Source organism: Homo sapiens, chromosome 5, assembly GCF_000001405.40.
Source record: "Homo sapiens chromosome 5, GRCh38.p14 Primary Assembly".
NCBI classification, from domain to species: domain Eukaryota; kingdom Metazoa; phylum Chordata; class Mammalia; order Primates; family Hominidae; genus Homo; species Homo sapiens.
This window is the reverse complement of record NC_000005.10, coordinates 149,769,451-149,795,398: the sequence shown is the minus strand read 5'-3', so window position 1 is coordinate 149,795,398 and position 25,948 is coordinate 149,769,451. Positions and strand designations below refer to the sequence as shown.

General features: G+C 50.1%; 1 protein-coding gene across 6 annotated transcripts in view, besides 4 other annotated features; it reads right to left on the bottom strand.

Moving 5' to 3' along the window:
- The window catches only part of PPARGC1B (PPARG coactivator 1 beta), a 127,650-nt gene that overhangs the window by 62,561 nt on the left and 39,141 nt on the right, over nucleotides 1-25,948 (bottom strand). Inside the window, exon 1 of one of the 6 annotated variants that reach the window (NM_001172699.2) lies at nucleotides 23,260-23,459. The exons of the other annotated variants lie outside the window; for them this stretch is intronic. Within the exon in view, the coding sequence (NP_001166170.1) occupies nucleotides 23,260-23,262 (3 nt within the window). The 5' untranslated portion in view covers nucleotides 23,263-23,459. Of the gene's footprint in view, nucleotides 1-23,259; nucleotides 23,460-25,948 lie in introns of those variants that run through there. 6 annotated transcript variants of the gene reach the window in all.
- Nucleotides 2,333-2,482: an enhancer, noted in NCBI's record as "active region_23389". NCBI's record gives its function as "activates an Ori minimal core promoter by ATAC-STARR-seq in GM12878 lymphoblastoid cells {active_cell/tissue: GM12878}" and the evidence as "EXISTENCE:reporter gene assay evidence [ECO:0000049][PMID:35858748]".
- Nucleotides 14,675-14,754: an enhancer, noted in NCBI's record as "active region_23388". NCBI's record gives its function as "activates an Ori minimal core promoter by ATAC-STARR-seq in GM12878 lymphoblastoid cells {active_cell/tissue: GM12878}" and the evidence as "EXISTENCE:reporter gene assay evidence [ECO:0000049][PMID:35858748]".
- Nucleotides 17,766-17,945: an enhancer, noted in NCBI's record as "active region_23387". NCBI's record gives its function as "activates an Ori minimal core promoter by ATAC-STARR-seq in GM12878 lymphoblastoid cells {active_cell/tissue: GM12878}" and the evidence as "EXISTENCE:reporter gene assay evidence [ECO:0000049][PMID:35858748]".
- Nucleotides 21,690-22,529: an enhancer, noted in NCBI's record as "H3K27ac-H3K4me1 hESC enhancer chr5:149152433-149153272 (GRCh37/hg19 assembly coordinates)". NCBI's record gives its function as "activates a minimal SCP1, AML or CMV promoter by ChIP-STARR-seq in primed H9 embryonic stem cells {active_cell/tissue: H9 hESC(primed)}" and the evidence as "EXISTENCE:reporter gene assay evidence [ECO:0000049][PMID:30033119]".

The following is a 25,948-nucleotide window of genomic DNA, read 5'->3' as shown; positions in this document are numbered from 1 at the left end:
TCCAATGCCCCACCTTATGCTTTAACTACAATAGCTGCAGGTACCTCATGAGATAGGTCCCCTTTTTATCTCCATTTTACAGGTGAGGAAACTTGAGGCGCAGGGAGGTTTGCTAACTTCCCTTAGAGACACCCAACTAAGTAGGTAGTTGTCCAGAGATTGGAACTCAGGAAATCTGACGCCCTAAGCTATGACATGTAATTTCTATGCTAGAATAAGAACAAAAACCTTTTCATTTCAGAGCTGCTGCAAGGGAGGCATAGGTGCCAGAATTATAGAACAGCAGAGTGAAAGGGAGCCTTAGCCACAGCTGGCTCTAATTCTACTATACAGGGAAGGAAACTGAGGCCCAGAGTGGGAAGTCTCTTATGGAGAATCTAGCTGACCCGTTGACGTCAAGATGTCTCGTGTGTCCCCATGGCCTTGGACCCAAGGCAGGGTGGCACTAAGGGCACACATCAGTGGGGCAATGGCCCCCTCACAGGACCCACCCCATGACTGCAGACCCCAGTGGAGAGCTAGGAAGACCCTGGTGCCTGCATTCCAATCTGGTTACAGGAGGAAGGGCAGGTGTTGGGCAGACAACGCTTCATCAGCAGCGGGCTGAGAGGCAGCTGCTGTGCAGAGCTGGCCTTAAACAGAACTCCCTGTTACCATTTTAGTCCTGTTGCCAGGGGATGGGCCTGGCTGGGACAACAGCCTCCTTATATAGGGCAAAGCAGGAATCCTTGCCCACCCTTCTCCTGCCTCAAAGGCAACAGGCACAGAAAAGACAAAATAAGCAACTGCCCTTTAGAGGCAAACACATCTTTGCCATTTTACTGCTTAGGGAATTTTGCTTGAATGTGTGTGTGTGTGTGTGTGTGTGTGTGTGCACGCTCACATACATGAGCGTATGCATGTGTGTGTGCAATCAACAGCAAATCAGAACAAAGTGCTTTGGCCTGGGTTCTCTGAGAGTGAGCTCTGCTGCCATAGGCTCCCAAGCCAGCCCCCTTGCCTACATGGGCCTCAGTTTCCTCTCATGTGGATATTCAAGAGTTAAATTAGACACTGTCTAACATTTGTCTTGGCCTTAACACTTGCTAATTTTATGAAATCCAGACAATCTGAAATCTTACCATTCATTAAAAGCACCAACACATGGGGTGACAACATCATCAGCTGGTCTGCTTGGAAGGCCTTCCCCAAGAGATTCACACCTCCCAGTCTTTCTCTAACAGAAGCTGAATTTTAACCCTTTCTTGATAGCTCAAATCATTGGGAGTTGGCAACTTCTTCTGTAAAGAGCCAACTAGTAAATATTTTAGACTTTCGAGCCATAAGATAGATTTCTGCTATGACTTCTCAACTCTGTGGTGCAAAAGCAGCCACAGACAACACATAAATAAACGGGCATGGCTAGGTTCCAATAAAACTTTACAAAAACCGGCAGCTGATTGGATTTGGCGCACAGGACCATACGTAGCTTGCTGACCCTGGAATAATAGTAACACACACATCCCTGGGGTCCTTTGCCCCGACACAGTGCTGCACCCAGAGAACTGGGATCTTCAGAGCTGCTTGTCTCTGCCAGGCTGGTCCGTCTGAGCGTCTCTCCCTCTGTTTTCTCCTCGTTGGTTTTTAGGGTCTCAGCTTACACATCTTCCTCCTACAAGTCTGCTGTCTTCAAGAAGTTCCATTCCCCTCTGCTTGGGTCCTGTTTCTGATCGGCAGTGGACTGGTCAGACAGCTTTCCAAGCGTAAGGCTGTACCTGAGACAAGTGGCACTGGGGTCTGAAGGAGAATGGTTTGGGGTACAACAGTGCCTGATCTTTATGATGATGGTTTTGGCTGCCTCAGGGTTCTGCACTGGATTCCAGAAGGCAGAGGCTGCTGGAGATGTGTCTGAAGGCATGGGGAAACTGGGGTGTGATGCACCTCCCCACAAACATTTGCTGCATGAGTGCCAAGGGAGGCAGTATAAGGGCCTTCTTTTAAACAGCACACTGGGATTTTCCAGAAGACAGAGGATGCTCTGGGGAACCAACTTCCTTCTGTTTTTCTCCTGGGACTTGATGATAGAATCACCTCTCCCTTCCTGCAGGAGAACATCTCCTATGAGTCAGGTGCTCCTCCCAGTAAGCAGAAATCACTCCTTTGACCAAGAAGAGCTGCCCCATGGCCTCCACCCACTTCTCAGGAAGGCAAAAAGGAAGGAGCAAGCAACAGCAGCTGCCCCCACAGACTGTGTGAGGGAAAGTCCACCAGACCAGCCACCCCAGGGTGGGGAAGGCAGGGAACCACAGGGAGGCCCAGATGATGGAGAACACACTCTCTACCTCACCCAGAAACCAGGCCCACCTCTCCTCCGCCTGGATGAAGCAGCTGAGGGTATGTGGCCACAAGGCTGTGGCTACTATCATTTAATCCACACATCTCTGAAGGTCTTCAAGCAGAAGTGGCACAAACTTCTTTTGTGGGATCCCCAGGACAGACACGAGACTCCAGTGGGTAGAAGTTGCATTTTTTCCATACAAGGAAGAATGTCAAAATGAAGTCAGTCATTTCCTCTTTGTGGGGATTTATACCGAGGCCAGCAGTGCAAACTGCAAAGGGGTCTTAAGCACCCAAGCATGCAGACTGACTGAATGAATGAATGAATGAATGAATGAATGAATACAACTACGGAACAAGGCTGCATCCTATTCAGGCTCTTATCCTTCATCAGCACATTCTTTAAGCGTCAAAATAATCCTCAAGGTAGAAATGAATATGATCCCACTTTGCAGATGGGAAAACTCAGGCACAAAAAGATTTAAAAGAGAAGCAAAAGTAGTGCCGCCGGCCAGAATTAGAATCCCAGCGTCCTAGTGCCGACATCTCTAAAATCACATTCCTTAAATGAAATCAAGAATCTGAGCTCCAATTCCATTCCAATCCTCTCATCCCCAACCCTGTCCCACCACTCCCAAAAGTGGAGATGATTCACTCTTGGAAAAGGTCTTGGCCTTTCTATGGCCCTTCTTGCCTCTGGGGAGCTGCTGTGAAGAATGAGGGAGTAGCACCCCACATCTCAGAGGCCCCAAGGAGGAAAATTTCTGCCATGCTCCATGCTGACTAGAAAATTCCGAAGTCTCCCCTGGGACACTGGAGGAGCCCTGCTGGCTCCCGAGGGACTATCGATGCAAGCTCTGTTTGCCAATTCCCATTTTACAGCCTCATGTCCTGCTCTTCCCACCCTTGATTCCAAACATCCTGACCAGTCCCATCTCAGCACCTCTGAACACCGTGTTCCCCTTTCCACCACTCCACCCGCTCCCCACCTTCCCTCCCAGGCCACTCTGTTCTCTTCAACACCCTGCCCTTTCAAGCCTTGCCTGGGGGACACCCTTTGTCCCACTGACACCCCTCCCATGGCTCAGCATCATTTCCCCATAGGGAACCCAAGGCCAAGGACTTAGAACTTGTATCCTGGGGTTCCCTAGGCCCAGCAAGTGCTCATTCATCCAGTGTTTGTTGAATAAATGAAACTTTTATAGACAAATCCTTTTATATTTAAACGGAAAACTGCAAGGCACTGAGATACTGCCCTCATTATCTTAATCTGTCAGAAGTTGTTAAAGGTAGGGAAGGGTACTGCTGGACACCAGGCCAATCAGAGCAGCTCGACTGACTGTCTCCTTTACTCAAGGAGCTTTTGTGCAAGACTATTTGCAGAGGGAAGACAAGGAGTCCTACAGCAAAAAAATTCCCTCTCAGCACCAATATTCTGTACTACCCATTCTGCAGAAATTGACATTTGCTATGAAAGACCAGCCTCTCCAGACCATAAGATCACAACATCACACACACTCTTCCCATAGGTTGGATCCCCCAGCCCCAATCTGGAGTGGGTATGCTCTGGAGCTCCTTGCACACCTGCAGGGATGGGGAGCTCATGAAGAAGCAGAGACTTATCTCTAGAAACTCAAGCAGGAGCTCTGGGTGCTCATTCATCCAATGAGCACTCAGTCTTGCACGGTCTCTTGGCTGCCCCAAGAGTTGGGAGTGAGGTTTCTTACAGAGGGAAGACAAGGAGAAACCTAATAGAATCAGTTTTTTTAATAGAAATTTTTTTTTTTTTTTGAGATGGAGTCTCTCTCTGTCACCCAGGCTGGAATGTAGTAGTGGGATCTCAGCTCACTGTAACCTCTGCCCCCACCCCGCCCCCCGCCCCAGACAATTCTCGTGTCTCAGCCTCCTGAGTAGCTGGGATTACAGGCATGCACCTGTAAAAATTTTTATATTTTTAGTAGAGACAGGGTTTCATGATGTTGGCCAGGCTGGTCTTGAACTCCTGACCTCAAGTGATCCGCCCGCCTTGGCCTCCCAAAGTGCTGGGATTACAGGAGTGAACCACCACACCTGGTCCAAAGAATACTCTTAAGAAGAGACCCAGTTTGGTTCTCTTACCACCTGCTGCAGAATCTCCCAGGGAAGCTTGTGAAAATGCAGGGTCCTGGGCCCTACCCCAGAGATCCTGAATCCATCTCTGGCAGGGACCCAGGAACCTACATTTTAACCAAGCTCCCAAGTAACAAAGTAACCATTACTGTCCACTGTCCAGATTCCTGAGGCCCAGGAATCTGCATGTTTCACACACTCCAGAGTGGATTGCCCGGTCCCATCTCACAGCTGGAGTCACTGGGACCCACCCAACAGAAGGAAATGCACTGAGTGACAGGAAAGCAAATAATCAATGAGTGTTGTCATTCATTTATTTGCTAATTTCATCAGGTCCCCAAACAAGGGCACTTGTACACTCCCAGATGCCTCAGCCTAGAATCAGAATCTCTCTCAATTGTGCTCCTAGTATTATAATATTTTAAGCCTCAAAGGCCTCCAGGAAGTGCAGGCTACTGACCAGCTCACTCTGGATTGGGCTGGTTTGGGGCTACAGCAGTCTGGACAGGGAGAGCAGCTCAAGCCGATGACTGCAGACCTGTCTGCACAGGGAGGGTGTGCAGGGGTGAGAGCGGAGGCACACCCCAGGGAGATTAAGTGAGCCTGATGTTCTGTAGGGGAAGCCACCAGGCTTCCACACAGCTAGGAGGGGAGAATGTGCTCAGAACTGACCAGGGCATCATCATAAATGATGCTGCCAAAAGATTCTGGTCCTGGGAAGGGCAGCCTGTGCCTATCATTCTGGTCCTTTTGACCTCTGCACTATCATCACCACCACCACTCCCTCATACTGAGTATTTAGTACATTACCAAGCATATCCCTTAAGTTATCCCACTTATTCCCCACAATAATCCTACACAGTAGGCAGGATTATCATCTCTATTTATAGACAAGGAAACTAAGGTTCAGAGAGGTTAGGCAACTTGCCCAAGGTCACCCAGCTAGAAGTGGTAGAGGCGGGAAACAAACCCAGGCAGTTTGACTGGAAATCAAGGACAGATCCTTAGGTCTACATTGCTTCTCCTTCCTTACCTCCCACAAGGTCTTGGAAAAGTGTCATCAAGCCCTGAAAGACTGACATACAGACCACAGCAGGCCAATTTCACCTCCATTTTCATGAGGGACTGGGTTAATAAGGCAGTTCCTGAACAAGAAAGGATCTAGAAGTGCAGCTTCAGGGAATCCCTTTCAGGTGCATGGCACTTTACAGTCTACAGTGAGAAGTACCATCAAGAAGGGATTCGTAACAGTGAGACCAGAGCCAGGCTGCCTGCACTACTGCAGCTGTGTGATCTTGGGCGTGTGACTTGACATTTGTGTTCAAGTGTCGTTTTCTGTAAGATGAGGATAACAATAGGAACTACTTCATAGAATTGTTTTGAGGATTAAATGAGGATATAAACAAAGCACTCAGAACAGTGCCTAACACACAAAAAGTGTCATTTAATGGCTTCTGCTATTGTAAGTATGACAAAATGATTTCACATTTATTATTTCATCTGATCCTCCTAGGAACTCTGCTTGGTTCACAGTACTGGATCATTTGTCCTACTTTGCAGATGAGGAAAGTGAGCTTCAGCAAGGAAAATGACTTCCGCAAGGACACAACCTGTGTACATAAGTCTGCATTTTCAGATCACTTCCCAGGCAAGCCCCCATCTTGCATTTGTCTTTCTTTTGAGCCCTAAGGTTGCCCTCATTTGTTCAGTTGATTCATGTCTAAAGTAAGAGAGCTGAAAAAAGTAAAGGAATGGCTACTACACTGACAAACACACTACTGCTTTCAATGTCCTAATATCTGCCCATGGCAGACATTACTAGGCGATCACAGGCCTCTTTCCTGCTAAGCCGGAGCACAACTTTGGACTATCCAACCCAGAATTTTTTAATTATTATACTTAAGTTCTTTCTAGGGTACATGTGCACAACATGCAGGTTTGTTACATATGTATACATGTGCCATGTTGGTGTGCTGCACCCCCCATTAACTCGTCATCTACATTAGGTGTATCTCCTAATGTTATCCCTCCCCACTCCTCCCACCCCACAACAGGCCCCAGGGTGTGATGTTCCCCACCCTGTGTCCAAGTGTTCTCATTGTTCAATTCCCACCTATGAGTGAGAACATGCAGTGTTTGGTTTTCTGTCCTTGCGATAGTTTGCTCAGAATGATGGTTTCCAGCTTCATCCATGTCCCTACAAAGGACATGAACTCATCCTTTTTTATGGCTGCATAGTATTCCATGGTGTATATGTGCCACATTTTCTTAATCCAGTCTATTATTGACGGACATGTGGGTTGGTTCCAAGTCTATGCTATTGTGAATAGTGCCGCAATAAACATACATGTGCATGTGTCTTTATAGCAGCATGATTTATAATCCTTTGGGCATATATCCAGTAATGGGATGGCTGGGTCAAATGTTATTTCTAGTTCTAGATCCTTAAGGAATCGCCACACTGTCTTCCACAACGGTTAAACTAGTTTACAGTCCCACCAACAGTGTAAAAGTGTTCCTATTTCTCCACATCCTCTCCAGCACCTGTTGTTTCCTGACTTTTTAATGATCGCCATTCTAACTGGTGTGAGACAGTATCTCATTCTGGTTTTGATTTGCATTTCTCTGATGGCCAGTTATGATGAGCATTTTTTCATGTGTCTTTTGGCTGCATAAATGTCTTCTTTTGAGAAGTGTCTGTTCATATACTTCGCCCACTTGTTGATGGGGTTGTTTGATTTTTTATTGTAAATTTATTTAAGTTCTTTGTAGATGCTGGATATTAGCCCTTTGTCAGATGGGTAGATTGTAAAAATTTTCTCCCATTCTGTAGGTTGCCTGTTCACTCTGATGGTAGTTTCTTTTGCTGTGCAGAAGCTCTTTAGTTCAATTAGATTCCATTTGTCAATTTTGGCTTTTGTTGCCATTGCTTTTGGTGTTTTAGTCATGAAGTCCTTGCCCATGCCTATGTCCTGAATGGTATTGCCTAGGTTTTCTTCTAGGATTTTTATGCTTTTAGGTCTAACATTTAAGTCTTTAATCCATCTTGAATTAATTTTTGTATAAGGTGTAAGGAAGGGATCCAGTTTTGACAGTCATTACCAATTGATTGCAGATGGTAGGTGACCAAACCTAACCCTTCCATTGTACAGACAAAATCTTCTATCCAAACTTGAGTTATTTCTACATTTAGTTATGATTGGCCGACAGGGTGCTCATAGCCCAGTCCATGTCCCTACATGTGTCAACCTCCCTGCAGATCTCACTGGTAGATTATAGTGTCCCTGCAGATAGAATGTGATCACAGCAGCACCCATCTTTCCCTACATCCAAGAAACTGCTCAGCAGACACACTGCTTAAGAGCTGGCCCCACAACCTTACTTTTGTGACTACCAAATTGTATCAGCAGATGTTCTCAGCTAATTTTACATCAGCAGGTCACCTCTGTGTGACAATAGACACCGGCAAAAGGTATGGTAGGTAATTTGTTACTAATCACATTTTAAAATCCCAACCTGGAGCCAATTTGGTGTTTAATATAAAAGTGGAGAGGTTCAGTGGGCACAAGGGGTTTTTATCCTTTCCATCATCTTTCCAGACAGCAATGCCTCCTGGCCCAGCTCTCGTGGGTCAGTGAAGCTAAGCTCACATACACACTCTTGCCCAGGGGTGGGCCCATGACCTAGTCCTGGGCAACCAGAGGGCCATCTTTTCCAGCCATCATGATTGGCTCAGGACTGAATATGTGCCCCCAATCCAGACAATAAGAGTTTGCCTTAGGATACTGGCTGATGCTACTGGAAAAGAAATGCTCTCTTGCTGTGGTTGCTAAGCTGATCCATGGGAAACCCTGAGGCCGTTTCTCCCATTGGCTGGAAAGAGCCTGTGTGGAAATGGAGCTCTCACAGAGGAAAGCAGAGTTGAGAGATGGAGCTCCTGGATCTAACTAAACCTGAACCCCACATTTTCAGTTAAGGGAACCAATCAACTTCTTTTTGCGGGGGTGACTTTGAATCGGCTTTCTGTAACACAGCCAAAACAGCCCTAAGAGTCAAACGCTCACATTCTGATGCTAGAGGAAAGAAATGCAGCAGGCACCAAGTGCATTAATATTCTACTTCTGAGGCCTGGGAGAGGATTCTACTTCTGTTGGAAGGAGAAGACTATTATTAATTCACTTACTCATTTTACCCACATTTCCTGCTGTTTGCTGATCTCCACTCGAACCCTCTGAAGTCTGTCTTTTCTACTACCAAAGATATTCCTCCCCTTGATCTTCTCAACTTTCAGTTTCTCCATCAGCAGCTCATGTCCAGTGGGGGTTAGACAGCCCACCCTGTGACAAGAGTTTCTGGGAAGGTATCTGCACACACGCCTGCCTCTGGATCTTGGCTCCTGCCCCTGGGGAATCTTCCCATCAAAAATAAGTGTCACGAGGCTGGGCACAGTGGCTCATGCCTGTAATCCCAGCACTTCGGGAGGCCGAGACAGGAGGCTCACTTGAGCTTAGAAGTTTGAGACCAGCCTGGGCAACATGGCAAAACAAAACTCTGTCTCTATAAAAAATACAAAAATCTGGCTGGGTGCGGTGGCTCATGCCTGTAATCCCAGCACTTTGGGAGGCCAAAGGAGGCAGATCACCTGAGGTCAGGAGTTCAAGACCAGCCTGGCCAACGTGATGAAACACTGTCTCTACTAAAAAATATACAAAAATTAGCTGGGGGTGATGATGCACACCTGTAATCCCAGCTACTCAGGAGGCTGAGGCAGGAGAATTGCTTGAACCCAGGAGGAGAAGGTTGCAGTGAGCGGAGATCGAGCCACTGGACTCCAGCCTGGGCAACAGAGCAAGACTCCATCTCAAAAACAAAACAAAACAAAAATCTGCCTGGCATTGTAGCACATGCCTGTAATCCCAGCTACTGGGGATGGGGGCAGAGGCAGGAATATCCCTTGAGCCCGGGAGGTCGAGGCTACAGTGAGCAATCACACCACTGTACTCTAGCCTGGGCAACAGAGTGAGACCCTGTCTCAAAAAAAGAAAAAAAAAAAAAAAAGAATGAGTGTCAGGGGTTCAGCCCTCAGCTTGCCTTCACTCTGAGCCAAGCCTTGTCCTGGACCCTTGGGCAGCTTACCTCATAGTTGTTGGGGAGGCTCAGCAAACCATTCTATTCTCTGGCCTCATTTAGTGTCAACCTAGGTTGGAGTGCCACCAGCCTCTGACAGTCACAACGCTAACCTACAGCAGGCTCCAGACACACCTGAACCACTTGGGTGGCACCGTCAGGAACCAAAACAGAGGGTCTTTGTCTTTGTGCATGAAGAACGGGGACTGGGCTCTCAGGAGAGGCAGAGTAGAGGCCAAGGCCAAGCGCACAGCAGGCTCTCTATAATTACCTGGCACCAAAAGGTAAAGGGGAAAAAAGAATCTTAATGATAAAGATTTATGAGACGTTCAAACTGCCAAGTTCCACCAACAGATTGTAAACTGGAAAGGAGGGTGGTGCCTTTTATTGTGTGCTTGCTAAGTGTCAGGCACTAGGCTCTCTCATTTGATTCTCCCAGTTCTGCAAGAAGCATCCCTCTTTACAGATGACAAAAACCAAGGTTCACAGAGGCCCAAGATCACCCGGCCAATGAGAGACAAAAGCAAGATTCTAACCTGGGTCTGCCTGGCTGCAAAGGCCATGCTGCTAGCCTCTTTCCTATCCCACCTTTACAACCAGAAGGGCCCTTAAAAGAGGGCATCTGGTCCAATCTCTTGTTGTGTGGACTGGAGACTGAGGCCCAGGAGGGGCTGGCCACATGGGAAGAGGCCTGCCTGGGATCCAGGGTTTCTGTCACCCTGGGTGAGGGTTCTCTCCAGATCTCCCGAACTCTGTTAGTATAGAGAACCCCTTGTAATTAAGGGTCAAGGTCACCCTGAGAGAGTATATAAACAGATTCCTCTTTCCTGAACTGCTAACCTGCACCAGGCACCTATCTTGTGCTGGAGAGACAGCAGTGATAAAGAGAGTCCCTACCATCCAGTCAGATGGGGGAGACCTCAGGCCAGTGCCCAGGAGATTAGGACCCAAGAAGGAACTGAGAGAAACTCAGTTGGCTGGACCGGGCGCGGTGGCTCACGCCTGTAATCCCAGCACTTTGGGAGGCCAAGGCAGGCGGATGACAAGGTCAGGAGATCGAGACCATCCTGGCTAACACGGTGAAACCCCGTCTCTACTAAAAATACAAAAAATTAGCCGGGCGTGGTGGCGGGCGCCTGTAGTCCCAGCTACTCGGGAGGCTGAGGTGGGAGAACGGTGTGAACCCAGGAGGTGGATCTTGCAGTGAGCCGAGATTGCGCCACTGCACTCCAGCCTGGGCGACAGAGCGAGACTCCACCTCAGAAAAAAAAAAAAAAAAAAAAAAAGAAACTCAGTTGGCTGGAGTGAGGCTCAGGACACCTGGGAGGGACGAGGGTGAGGTATGCAGGGCCAGATCCCGAAAAGACTTCTAGGCCATGGTAAGGGTGGCCTCTGCCCCAAGACCAGGGGGCCACTGGGGGGCTTCCTACACAACAGTGACATGATAGATTTGCACTCTGGCTGACATACAGAGATGCAGCCAAACATGGCAGCAGGAAGCCCCATGAGGTGGCTGCTTCACAGGCCGTTGTGAGAGCGTGGCCTCTGAGTGGGAGGAAGTAAAATGAAGGGAAGGAGGGATTGGACCTATTTGTGATCTATATTCAAGGGTAGGACTGGCAAGACTCAGTGACTCCCAGCTATGTGCAGCAAGGAAGAAGGATAAATTAGGGTGGGCTCCCTGACTGAGGACTATAGCAACCCAAGTAGAAGAAAGAAGGGAAATAGGGCTGGGGTTGGGGTGATGCAATAAAGACCTCCACTTTGAACACACTGAGTGTGAGGTGCCTACAAGCAGGGGAACAGTGCGGTCAGCCACAGGCAGGCAAGTCAGGGGGTCTCCCATGCCCATCTTGCCTAGGCTGGGGCAGGCATGTATGTACACGCATGCCTGCACACATGTGTGTGCAGAGACGGGTGAAGGGTATAAACATGGTTACTGCCATGGGTATAAACGTGGTTATAAAGGGGTATAAAGGGGTATAAAGATGGTTATTGCCATGCTCCTGTTTATATAATGCCTCACACACAACTACCTCTCCTCTGCCCAGGATCTGCAAAACAAGAACAACAGGAATAACAGACCATCAAATCAATAAGGGCCTTAGCGACACTCATCTTGAACCTCTCAATGTAAAGAGGGGGAATTTGAAACCCGGAGAGGGAGAGGGACCCTGTCTCAAGTGCGGTGGTGAGACAGCAGAGAGCTGAACCAGAATCCAGGTATCTTCCTCCCAGCCTGGGGCTCTCCTACCACACTGAGTTTCTCTCCATTCCTTCTCCTTGGATTATAATCTCCTGGGCACTGGCCTGGGGTCTCCCCCATCTGACTGGACGGTGTGGACTCTGTCTTTCACACACTCGCTTATCTGGTACTCAAAACATCCCTGTGAGGCTGGTGTTTTCTCCATTTCACAGATGAGGAACTAAGGACCCAAAAAGGTCAAAAGAATCCCCCAAGGTCATGACTTCAGTCCATAAATTGTCTCTCAGGTCCTATGTAGTCATCATTAAGGTCACTTGATCCCCTTTACTCTGATATGCTACTCTCTTTATGAAAAACTGTGCAGCCCATTCTGAGCTCCCAACAGGGCAAAATGGCAAATGGAGTTCTATCATTCCATTGATGGCTGCACATCTTAGAGGAAATTAACTAATTGGCCTCTGGGGTGTTGAGTATGGCAGGAGGGGAACAAATGTGGCCCAGGGGTGAAGAAGGCCTGAGTGGGCCAACAATCTCTCTCTCTCTCTCTCTTTATCTCTCATTCCAGTGTGACATCAATACCAGGACCCAGGAGTTCCACTGCCCACTTCAGGAACCTCTACCATAAGCACCCTGCATTCCTATCTACTTTGCAAGCTTGGACCCACTGGCTGCATTCACACAAGCCCTTTTTTCCCTTCTTCCTTCCTGCTCCCTACCTCTGTCCCAGTGGACACTTGGCAGCCCCTCAGAGGCCCACTGGGGGTCAGGAGGGAATGTTGAACATCTGGCCAGAGCCCAGGCCAGCCCTGTGGGTTCACAATAGGGAACCTGCTAATGTGCAGGACCCTAGAGCAGCGGCCCTGTGATTGGCTGGCAAGGCCAGGCATCAGGCCATCCCAGCACCCGGGGCCTCGTGACCCCAAATCCCAGCTATTAATAGATGAGAACCCTTCAGCAACCCCTGCCCCTACCCAGCCTCCCCTCCCTCTTGGCTGAAAATAAAAGGGCTCCTTGAAATGGTACAGAGGCCCAGATATCCAGCTCAGCTGCTCTGGGCCCAAACCTTCTGCTGACCTCAGGGAAAATACTCCATTCTCTAGAAATCTGGGGATCTGTCAGCCGTCCAGGCCCACTCGGCCCACATCCTTCCTTCTTCCCCGATAACAATCCTGGTGTAGCTACTGCTTCCAGCCCCCAGATTTCTGAGTCATTTGGATCTCACTTTAATATGCTGCCACCAACAAGGCATTCATTAGGAACCCACTGCTTGGGGAGAAGGAAGGTTGTATATGTGTATGTTGCAGATATTCATCTTTGAAGAAAAAAAATTTTTAAGAGTTTCTTTATATCTTATACAAGAGGAATGGCCACACCCAAGGTCACACAGTAAATGAGTGACAGGGATCCGACTCCCAAGCCAGGGCCACCCAACCCCAAGCTGATCAGGAGCCTTCTCCCAGCCCACAACTCGAGCCTTTGCTTATGCCAGGCTAATGGCTCAGTGTGCCCTTCTTACTTCCCTTTTCTTCTCTTAATCTCCCCTCTCTTCTTCTTGGGCTTAGCCCACTACGACCTCCACCAAGAAGCCATCCCCATCTAAATTAATTTAGCTCACAGCTGTCCCAACCCCCACTTCCCACCAATGCACATATTCCCCTTAATGCATTTACTGAGTCACTTGCTTGGTACTGACCAGGAATGGCATTAATGATTGTTTTTCTTTACTAAGGAATGGCAAATAGAGTTTACCTCACAGGCCAAGTCCTGTCAGGGTTATTAGTAGCTGTCATTGTATGGGTAAAGGTTATGAGACCATATATCCAAGATCAGCAGGAAAGAGTGTGGTGATTGATTAGCGATGTCTGCCTTGGCCAGGACATCCCTCAGCACTAGTGCCAAGTTTTGTTTTCCTGCTTTAGAATTTACCCCCATCATTCTGTTGCTCCCAAGACTAAATTCCGTAAAGCAGAAATTTAGCTCAGCAGATCAGGTCAGCTTGAGCTGTAAGAGTTTCCCCCACCTTGCTGGCCACTCAAACGGCAGCATGATGGCAAGCAGACAACTTAGAGGGAAAAACAAGAAACATCCCTTGCGTGCTTCAGTGGTGTTCACACAAAGGACTCCATAGCCAGCACCTCAACTGATCTGGACAAGAAGACTGAGAGGCAGACAGGAATTCTCTCTCCTTTTCACAGGAGGAAACTGAGGCATGGGGAGGCTAAGTGACTGACCCAAAGTCATTTGGCAAGCCTGGACCTGATCCCAGGTCACAGAATGGCAGCTATGCAGAACGGCAGGACAAAGGACAGCCAACCTGTCAGGTGACCATGCACCTGCCCTCTCATATCTCCCATGACAGGAAGCTCCCTACTGCCCAAGGCAGGCCAGCTCATGCCATCTTTCATTCAGAAAGCTGCTTCTTTTTTTTTTTTTTTTGAGATGAAGTCTCGCTCTGTCACTCAGGCTGGAGTGCAGTGGCACAATCTCGGCTCACTGCAACCTCCACCTCCCGGGTTCAAGTGATTCTTCTGCCTCAGCCTCCCAAGTAGCTGGGATGACAGGTGCCCACTACCATGCCTGGCTAATTTCTGTATTTTTAGTAGAGATGGGGGTTTCACCATGTTGGCCAGGCTGGTCTCAAACTCCTGACCTCAGGCGATTCCCCCGCCTTGGCCTCCCAAAGTGCTGGGATTACAGGCATGAGCCACCGCGCCCTGCCGGAAAGCCCCTTCTTAGCTCGAGCCAGAACTTCCCCTTCTGACCTCCACTTACCAGTGCCACGCCTCTCCCGTGCCAATGTTTGCAGGTGGCCTGTTTCCTCTGAGCTGCACACCTCTACTGCCTCCACCCATGTGGAAGAACACCTGCTTTACAGTCATCCTGCTTTTGATTCTGTTTTCTCTGAGAGCATATCTGTTTGGCTACTTTGGTGACAGAACCATCTCCTCTCTAGTTCTAGGCCCCAGCTTTCTATTAATGTGCCTAATGTTTAAAATTATCAATAACTTTTTGAGATTAACTATGCTTCACATTATCTAACCGCTGACACACAACTACCCCTCCACTGCCAAGGACCTGCAAAACTAGAACAACAGGAATAACAGATCATCAAATCAACAAGGGCCTTAGAGACCTTTAGTTCAAACCTCTCACTGTACACATGGGGAATCCGAGGCCTGGAGAGGGAGAGGGACCCTGTCTCAGGTTCAATGCTGAGACAGTGGAGAGCTGGACATCTTCCTCCCAGACTGGGACTGTGCCCACTAAACATTAGTTAAGGCTTGATTTGAAATCCTGCACCCAATTCAAGGTCAGGAGAGCCAACGTGGGTCACACACTGAGAGCTGGTGACCAGTAAGGATGAGAATCTGAACCGGCCAGGCCTGGGGCCAGGTGGTCACACGGGGCTCTGGCTGCTCATCCTGCGCTGGAGCCTGTGCTCTGGGTGTGTGGGTTTTCGATGCTCCAATCACACACGGCTCTGCTCCCGTCTGTCTCCCAGCTCCCAGACCCTGCAGCAGAAACAGGCTTTGTACCTGTGGGCCTAGGAATTCATCCCAGCTTTCTCTCCTTACACTCCCCTAGGTGGAAAGCCCTTTCACTCAGACCTCCTTTCAGCATCTTGGGCTGAGGACACAGTCAATCACTTGCTGCCAGCCAGAGGGTATTAGGAAATGAAAATGACACCAGCAAACAGGAGAGATCTTGTGCAGACCAAGGCCAGGGGAAGGGGCTGGGAAGGGGCTCCATCTACTCCTTTCTCAATCATGGAGCACTAAGCCTCTCCCTGCATCCCGGATACATCCTGGGCAACCCCAGCACACAGTGTCGTGGGAAGGCACAGGCATGCCCTAACCTTGCCACCTCCGGAGGCCTCTCACATCTTCCTCCCCAGCACACCTGTGGCCTCCTCTTGGAACCCCTCCAGACCTTTTCAAATTCTCTTTTTTGCCAGGTAGTCTCAAAAGTCACTCCTGGAACAGGCTTCCCTGTTGCCCCCTCCAGCTGACTCCCATTATTTCCTCCCTCCCTGGACTTCCCAGAGCATGTTGCTTTTTATCTGATTTGTCTCCTTGTTTCTCTCTCTCTAGAGAGCTCCAGGGATGCAGTGGCCTGCTGGTCTTTTCACTGTTGTATCCTTAGTGTGTGCTATACAGTAGATGTTCAATAAAAACCTCCTGAAGGCATGGATGTTGCAGTGGTGCCTGAAGTGGTCCAGCAACACTTTGTGAAGATGGGGGTTTCAAAACTTGGCCTTGAGGGCAGAAGAGGCAGCCCCTCCCCCAGACGCAAAGTGCCCATTGTATTTGTTACTGAGCAGCACTGAGATCGTGCCAGGCATGGTGTATGCACTCACCCCACTGAACTCTAACAAGCCTCATCCCCATCTTATCAGTGGGAAGACAAAGCCAGAGAGGCCTGGCAATCTGAGACAGTGCAGCCAGGCTGTAGCAGAGACCAGACTCAAAATTCAGGACTCCTTTCCATGGGCTGCACTCAGATTCAGAGTCTGGCTGGGGTCAGATCACGATGGGCCTTTGGTGTCCCGAGGAGTCTGGACTTTGTCTCAAGGAGTCTCCTCCTTCTGAGGAGTCTAGTTTTTGTGACATTCAAAAACTAGGCCTTATTGGGAGTAACAGCTTTCTAGGGCTCCCTAGACACTGGTCTGTGACGAAACTCCCTCTCAAACACAGATGCTAGGCATGGGTCATCTCCCCTGTGAGATATTTCTAAAACTTTCTGGATAATCTCTTTTTCTGGAATCCTGGAAAAAAGAGGATGGTTTTATGACTACACACACTCCATAAAACTTTCCTTTTTTCAAACAATGAAACTGAGGCCATGAGTGCCAGGTTTTATCTGTGGTCACCCAGCCACAGCCAAGCAGTGACAGATCCTGTGGCCTGGGGTGCTGGTAGGGGAGCTTGGGCAGGAAGGGGCGTGAAGGGCTGTGACTTGCAGGAGGGGTGAGCCTTGCTCTATGAGGGCCCACGACGCCAAGCCCAGGCTATGGTGGGAGCTGAGACTGCAGCTCATTTATTCTAAGGAAGCCCTTGTGACCATCAGAGCTGCCCAATGGCAGCCGCAAGCAGCTGTGGGAGGTCATGAGGACTGTGTGGCCACTACCTGGTGGGATGGCAGGGATGCAGGTACTCTCCATGAGACAGTCCTGAAGGTCCCCAACCCAGGGAGCCCAAGAGCCCCGCTTCTGCTTGGAGCCTCCTCTCCCTGCCTCTGGAGTCTCTCTGGCCACTGGAGGGCTAGGCTAAGTCAGGGAAGCTCACAGACCTCTTCTCCCATCACGGAGTTGCAGACTGGCGGGTAAGAGACAGACAGACTAAAGCCTTGCCAGGAACCCAGGCCTCCTCACCACTCTTGGGTCAGGGGCTGCCTCCCTTCTGTCATCCCCTCCAAGACAAAGCACCTGCTGAGACCCAGCTGATGCTGCTCCATGGATACGAGCAGCCAGGTACTCTGTGTGTGTGTGTGTGTGTTGCTGCTCCATGGAATGTGAGCAGCTGGGTACTCTGTGTGTGTGTGTGTGTGTGTGTGTGTGTGTGTGTGTGTGTGTGTGTGAGATGCTGCTACATGGATATAAGCAGCCGGGTACTCTGTGTGTGTGTCTGTGGGGGGGGGAAGGGGGGCACTGCTACATGGATACAAGCAGCCGGATACTGTGTGTGTGTGTGTGTGTGTGTGTGTGTGTGTGTGTGTGTGATGCTACATGGATATGAGCAGCCGGGTACTCTGTGTGTGTGTCTGTGGTGGGGGGGGAGGGGGGCACTGCTACATGGATACAAGCAGCCGGATACTGTGTGTGTGTGTGTGTGTGTGTGTGTGTGTGTGTGTGTGTGTTACAAAGACAGTTTTTAAATCTCTACTTCCAAGTGTCCCCATCTTGGGAAGCTAGAGGCCCTGGGTGGTGTGGTTCTCATGGGGAGAGAGGACCAAAGAAGGCAAGATGTGAGGATGCTGGGGGAGGGGCCGGCTGCCCGGCAGTTTCCTTAGGAGACCCAGTCTGTAAAAGGAGTGAAGAGGCCTCTGGGACCCATGAGGGACAAGGCAGCCACTTAACTCTTCCCTGCCTGCGTGGGAGGGTGGCGGAATTTCCCAACACACTCCTGAGCTCAGAGCCAGGCAGGCCCCCTCCCACTCCTGATTGTCAGCACCACTCAGGCCAGGCCTCACAACCGGGCAGGGGCTGCCAATGGCCCAGGGGGTGGTGGCTTTTGGAAGGAGGTAGGAGAGTTTGGGTGGTGGGGGGAGGAAGGGAACAGGTTCTGCAGACAGAGAGCTCAGCAACCGTGGCATGTGTTTCTGGACTTCCCTCTAAAGTTTCCACATCTGTAAAGTGGGCAGAGCATGTGTGGTGAGCAGGGGTCTTTGTCGGTCTATGTGTGTTTGGGAAAATTGAGAAAATGACTCTAAAGCCAGGGCATATACTAAGTGCTTTTGATAAATCGTAGATGAAAAAAGCCACAAAACTGCCTCAGCAAAAACAAGAAGAAGAACAGATTCAGACTGAATTCTAGCCTCGCCTTGCTGCTTAAGGGAAACCACACTACCTTCTGAGGCTCAGGCCCAGCACCTGCACAATGGGAATAACCTCCTTCTTGCAAACTGAAAGGGCTCCCCACAAGGACATGATCATTAACAATAATGGAAGAGCTGGGCTGAGGGTGGGGAAGGACTCGGGACCAGGAACTGGGCAAGAGCAAGGGTGTGTACACACATGTGTGTGCAGAGTGCAGGAAGCCAGGAGAGCCTCTCCCTGTCCGCTGCCAACAGGAAAAGGTTACGGGGCCATTTCCATTGTCAACTGAGAACCACATACACAATCCTGCTCAAACTTGTCTGAAGCCCCAGAGCTAGCAAGTGGCAGAGAGGGGATGTGAATGTGGGGCTAACTGCTGAGGCCACAGTGCCTCCGTTACACTACAATGGTGGCCTCTGGGTGGGTCATTCCCAGGGCCCCAGATGTCTTCATTGCATCCTAGCTGCAGCTGACACCAACGACCCACCCAACTCTCATCAAACCAGCAACCACCTACACATGCTCTCAAGATCCCCTAGTTCAACGAATGCCAACCACAGCAGTATTACTGCCAGGGAGCATGTGGGTGTTCCACCTACCACAATGATTTGACTTGGAGATCTGGGATGCAAACTGTCCTGAGTGCCTGGGGCAGTCCTACACAATGCAAAACTGTCCAGCCTAAAAAGCTTTGGGGTGCTGCTGGAAGTTGAAAAAATAAAAATAAATAAATAAAAAAAACCTTTGGAACCTCTTTTGGGAAACGCTGCATAAGGCAGAATTTTTGTAGTGCAGATAGGAAAACCAAGGCCCAGAGAGGGAAAGGAATTTGCCCATGGTCTCATTGCAAGCTAGCAACAGAAGTGAGGCTATGGTTCAGCCCCTACTACTCCCAGTCCAATGTTCTTTCATCACCTACACTCTGCTGCCTTTTCTATGACACCTATTAGAGTTAGAATAGAATGTACAGGGGTTCAAAAAGAAACATACTTGTATGAAGAGAAAGTTAGTAACAATGACAGAGGAAAAGAGGTGGTATCTTGGTATGGCAGAGAAGGAGGTGGAGGGGAAGAGGGTTGGGCAGTCTATGTATTCTTGATGCTAACCACTAGGGGGCAATACTGGCTTTGGACAGCTTGGTTATGTCATAAGAATTTGTTAGGTCAGGGAGAGGAAAATGGAAGGACTTATTTCTATCCAATCTGATTTACTTTCTTTAGACAGTCCAGTGCACCTAATGCCACAACTCCCTTTATTGTTGCATGTGGAGAAAGAGAAGGGGGTAGGGGGTGAATTGGAGAAGGAGATCCAAAGGCAGAATCTGATCAGAAAATCCAGAGCTCAGATCCCTGAGTGCTTCCTGGCTCCCATCCTAGGACAGGGAAGAGTGTGGGCATCACTAGCCAAAGCCCCTACCACAAGGCATGCCTAGCTGCAGACTCAGCATGCCTTTCTAGGTCTCTCAGAAAATGTTTATCTCAAGTGTCAGCTTCAATTAATTGGGAGGACTACCTGAAGCCTTGTTTTGCAGTGGATTCTGAGGCCTCTTGGAGCTCAGGGGTAAGAGTGTGGAGACTGAATTCGTTCTGTCTGCCATGGGTGCTGAAAGGCGCATCTCAGCTCCTGCACCATCTCAGTCACGACCTTTATCCCTGTGGCCACATGCGTCACCCTACTGCATCCTCCAAGCAACCTGGGCGGCAGGCAGGGCAAGAATCACTGAGCCTCTGTGAAGGGAAAGAAGTTGAAGACCTGCAGGGCCACGGAAGCTGTCCAAGGTTACACAAGGCCGTGATGATAGTGGGGACAAGAACCTAGGCTCCATATCACCTCCTATTACCACTATGCCCTGCCCTCTCCAGATCCACAGAAAAATGTGCATTCTCAGCTGCCTCTGCCCCCACTGGGCTGTAGTTATGGCTTCTACAGTAACGCCCAGAGTAGGAGGTGATAGTTCAGCCATGTGGGGCTGGCAGGAGGCCTCCACAGTAGGGAGCTGCCCTACTCCACCCCTACACAACCCTCAGCTGCCAATGAACACAGCCCACCAAAGGGAGAAGGGGGAAGCAATTCTAGGTGGAATTGTGGAACCAGTTTCCCCTGCCTGCTGTGGCTGCAGCTCGCCCGGCTCTCTGGCTGTGGGGACATGCTGCTCCACTGAGTCCCAGATGAGCCCATCTAGATCCTGGGAAGCGCGAGTAGGGATAGAACCCAACCACTAGACAAAATGCTCTCAACTCCCAAAGCAGCAGCCTGGTCTCCATGACTCCCATGAGTGGATCCTGGAGAATCTGTCATCTTCTGAGAAGGCCTGAGGATCCAGCTACAAATGGAGTTCTGCAAGTCAGTATAGGGCCAGAGGCAGGAGGGAGAGGGGGTGAGGTTCAGGCCTGCCCAGCTGCCAGGTCACACATGGGGCAGGGACCTAGTCATTACAGGTCCCTAAAGCCCTGGCACCCTAAATAGAGACAAACTCCTAAGAGGTGTGGCCTGCATGCTAGATGAATGAATGAACAAATGAATGAATGTCAAAGCTGGGAGTCCTAGAGATCATCCCAATCCCCGCTAATGCTCGGATGTGATTATTGTGGTCAGGCCGGTCATCGTGGGACCAGAAGCCAGAAGGATTACCAGCGCCGCAGACCTCTACTGATCCGCTGCTATATGCCCGGCTCACTGCTAAATGCTATATGCCTTACCTGTAGCATCTCATGGCAACCTCACAGCACCCAGGGCTATGCCAGATTTTTAGCCCTGCTGTGCAGGTGAGGAAACCGGAGCCCAGTGCACACAGTCAGTAGCAGCAACACTAACTTTAACTCAGGCCCCGACACCCATTCTGTAAACTTCTCTACGACGGTGTCCCCTCACTAGGGGGGAACAGGGGACTCCACAGGCTCTCTGCCTCATGGCTGCTGCAAGGTGCCACCCCTGGACTTTCCGCTGGGGCTCTGATGCCCATGTCACCATGGCCTCTCCCCAAAGGGAATTCAGGTCAGAGCTGAAAGGGGGACCCAGGACAAGTACCTTCTTTGCTCTCTTAACTGGTGCTACAGTGGCCAAAGCAGGAGGGCTCAGGCTGGAGCCCTGAGGCTCACCACTGGACACCTGCTTTCTGACTGGCAGGTACAGGCTGCCATGCATCTGGGGACAGAGCACCAACATTCCAGAGAAATGCCAGTGGGGTGCCTGGCAGCAGAGGTGGGGCAGGCTGAGCCCCGCCCACAGTCCCCAGTTCTCATGAGAGTCACCAACACGCTGGGCAGCCAGTTCCCTCCTGAAGTTTGCACTCAGCTCCCATCTGAGAGGGATGGGAGCTGAGCCTCCCCCACGCCTCCAAGCGCTTCACCTCACACATCCATTTCCAGCACATGGCCACCCTGCCGGCCCCATCTCAGTCCCTCCCGCGGCCGCTCTGCCTCCCATCACCGTGTCTGTTAGCCTCCTCACATTCTCAGTGCGTAACTACACACTGATTTGGATATGTGATTTCCATCTGTCTGTCCTCCTCCTGACCCCTGTCTGTGAAGGTGGAGCTGCCTTTTGTGAGGAGGGACCTGGGAGGGACCAGGCTAGAACAGAGCAACCAGCCAGGCAGGGGCCAGGCTGAGACACACCTAAGAGTAGACGCTGCCTTGCCCCACTCCTGCCCACGGGGCAGAGCAGGAGCCGCAGGTGTCTTCCCCTGTGTAGGCAGCACTGGCTGAGGAGGGTCAGCTGCCAGGCTCACCCATGCACCAGCTGCACAAAACATGGCAGACAGGCCGGCAGGAGGCCGGGGTCATGCAGCAGCTTCCATCAAGCTTCAGGAGGCACAGCTTTGTTTCCTCTGGAGGCTGTTTGGATTAGTAAGAGACATGTAGCTCTCATCTGGCTGCACAAGACACGACCACAGCAGTCCTTGCCTCACAACCTGAACTGCAGCCTGTGGGGTTGCCCCAAACACCAAGAAGGTACAGACTGAAAGCATCAGCCCAGCCAACACTGTTAACCAAAAACTCTAAGCATGGGCAGAGCTGGTACACGGGCAGAACAATATCTCACAAACACCAAGCATCATACCCCAATAGAAAATATCTGCAACAAAGACCATCTCCCCAAACACCTCCTGCAACGCCACCACAGCCAGCGCCTTTACCTTAAGCACCAGGTATGTTCACAGTACAACCACTGGCATAGGATACCATCATACTAAACACACACACAAATATCTTCACAAGGTCACAAACACTGTCACACCAAACCCCACCGAGGAATCACCACCACCGCCACCCAGTCAGCAGTTACAGAAAACACAATTGTTAGAGGCTGAGTTGCATTGCCCTAAAATTCATATGATGAAGCCCTAAACCCACTACCTCAAAATGTGACTGTATTTGGAGCCAGGCTCTTTAAAGAGGTAACTAAGTTAAAATTAGGTCACGACAATAGGCCCTAATTTAATATGACTGGTGCCCTTATAAGAGGAGATCAGGACACAGGCACACACAGACCAAAGACCACGTGAACTCACAGGGGAAAGATGCCCATCTACAAGCCAAGGAGAGAGGCCTCAAAGTAAGCTGACTGCCCACCCCTTGCTTTTAGACTTCTGGCCTTCAGAATTGTGAGAAAATCCATTTCTCTGGTGTAAGTCACCCAGTCTATGGTACTTTATTACAGTAGCCCTAGCAAAGCAATACAACAGCAAACACCACAGCAACACCATGCAGCCTCCTCAGCCAAATAAATCCATTGTGCCACACACCATGACAGGAGACTGGCTGCATCACCAGCACAAACACCGCATCCCGAGACAGCCAGCACATCACGCACACTACCGTACCCTAACCCACCATCGCCACATCACAACCATGTGTCTACCCAACACCCTCCCGGCAGCATGTCACAATCGTCAACCCAACAAGCTCACAGAAAAAGCCTTCACCACCAACGCCACCTAAACAACCTCTGGCCCAACACCTACCATTGCTCTGGTGGCGGCTCCTCCAAGGGTCCTGGGGCAGCCCCAACCCAGATCAGAGCAGGCCCCTCAGAGGTCCCCACCTGTGCACAGCCTGGCACGTCTAAGTTGGAAACCTTCACTTCTCTGAGCCTGCTTCCTGCCTGTAAGTCTGGGATAACAGCAACTAATTCAGAGTTGCTTGAGGATTAAAATGAGAATGTAAAGCAGAATGCTAAAGCTTGGGGACAACGTTCAGTGACATCACTTAAACAGGATGAAATTGGCCATGGTGGGGATATTTACTTCCTGGACACCTGAAAATGCTACAACTCAGAGCCTCCCACCTCACCCCACCTCCAGAACCAGTTGTTATGCATTTCCCAGCACACCACTGAATGTAAGGCGGAGCAAGTGGAGTGCTGCCTGCTAGGCAAACAGAAAGAACAAGGAAAAAGGAATACGGCTTGCTCTGTCTTTCATGAAAACTGGCAGAGGAAAAGAAAATACTCCTCTTGCTATAATTTATGTAGGACACGGTAACAGGTGGCTCCTGTTACTCTATGCCTTAAATCTGGCCTCACAGGTCCAAGACGATACCCAGTTAGTTCCCCATCCCCTGCCCACCTCTGCTGTCACACCTGACTAGAATATCTCCATAGCCCTTCAGACCTGGGCAATCAGGGCCCTGCCCTCAGCTTGGCCCTTCAGGGGCATCACTCTGGCCCTCCTCCAGCAGTTCCCTCCCCACAGATCTGGGAGTCCACTTGTGTAAGGAAACCTGCCTACCTGGGCTGCAGATGCCTTTGGGACCCCAATTTCCCCACCTAAATGGCCCTGAGCCTGCTTCCAGGGGCCTATGCAGGTCTCTTCCTGGGCCCATCATCCTCAGGATGACTGTGCAGTGGGGGTTACACATTCCTAGACCCAAGGTGTGACCAGGCAGTGGCTGCCTGCAGGGAAAATGGTGGCCGGCACTTAGAAATGCAGGTGCAGCATCCGCCTGCATGCGCACACGGCCCCCCACACGCAGGCGGGGAGCCTCCATTTGTACGCTCACCCTGCTCTCAACAAACCAGCCACCCAATTCCTTCAAGGTTCTAGAACATGAAGTTTGGAGATGATAATGATGAGGGGCCTTCAAAGCCTGAGGTCCTCGTCTGCAGAGTAGCCCCACCCACATAAACGACAGCAAGCCCTGACCCTGTAATAATTTTGTGTCACATTTAATCAAGTCCTATGATGGCTTCGGTATCACTCAAGGTGTCTCATACTATTCCAATCAACCCTTGTGTTTCAATATATTCTCCAATTTTTATTCCTTTTTTTTTTTTTAAGAGACAGGGTCTTGCTCTGTTGTCCGGGCTGGAGTGCAGTGATCATAGCTCACTGAAGCCTCGAACTCCTGGGCTCAAGAGTTCTCCCACCTCAGCCTCCCAAGTAGCTAGGACTACAGGCATGTGCCACCACACTCAGCAGATTTTTTTTTTTTTGGTAGAGACAGGGTCTCACTATGCTGCCCAGGCTAGCCTCAAGCAATCCTCCTGCCTCGGCTTCCTGATTTTATTCTTATCACAACCCTTGGGAGAAAAGGAAGGTCCTACTATTTGCACTTAACAGGTAAAGAAATTGAGCCTAAGAGGTTAAGTTACTTGCCCAGGATGACACAGCTGATAACTGCCTGGAAGTAAACAGTCTTGACTTTGTGTGGGCACCCACATCTTCCCCTATCTGGATCTTCAACTTTTTGGAGGAAGCGATGATGTCCTGTACGTCTTTATACTTTGAGGGGCTATGGGGCAAAAGACACATGATTCTAGGAAGGAAACAATTAGAGTGTTCTCGCCTTTTTTTAAACTTGAATCCTAAGAAGTTGAATAGAATTTGACAGCCAGAGAGGAAGGCTTCCAGACTGAAGTGGTCATCTCCTGCACTTCTCCCCCTGAAGAGGCCAGATCTGGCAGGAAGGCAGGGGCTTAGGCATGATGTCTTAAAAATAAAAATAAATATTAAAAAAGGATATATAAAAGGAAGGCAGGGGCTCCCACAACCCTGAGGGAGGACAGAGGCTGACTGGCTGCTGCAGAGGTGAGGGGGCTCTGGAGATGATGAGTGCACCACCACAGCAGGCAGCATAAGGTCCCCCACAGATGTCCACGTCCTGATCTCCCAAACCTGAGAAGATACTACCTTACAGGGCAAAAGGGACTCTGCCGATGTGGTTCAGAATACGGAGATGGGAGATAACCCCGGATGACCTGGGTGGGCCTAGTGTGATCAGAGGGTCTTTTTAAGAGGGAGGCAGAAGGGTCAGGGTCAGGGTCAGGGCCAGAGAAGGAGATAAGTGAAGGGGCCACAAGCCAAGGAATGTGGGCAGTCTCTGGAAGCTGGAAAAGGCCAGAAAATGGCTTCTCTCCTGGAGCCCCTGGGAAGGAATGCAGCCCTGCCACACCCTCACTTCAGCCCAGTGAGACCCATGTTTGGCTGCTGACCTCTGAAACGGCAAGATCTGTGTTAAGGCACTACATGTGTGGTAGTTTGTTACAGCAGCAACAGGAAGTCACTACAGCCCCCATTCAACGTATAAGTGAGAAACCTGAAGCCCAGAGAGGACGAGGGCATGGCCGGGGAGTAGGGGGTGTCTCTCAGCCATGGGGAAAGACCAAAGGAGAAGCACTTCCCCTCCTGGATGAGCTCCCCGAATCAGTGGGAA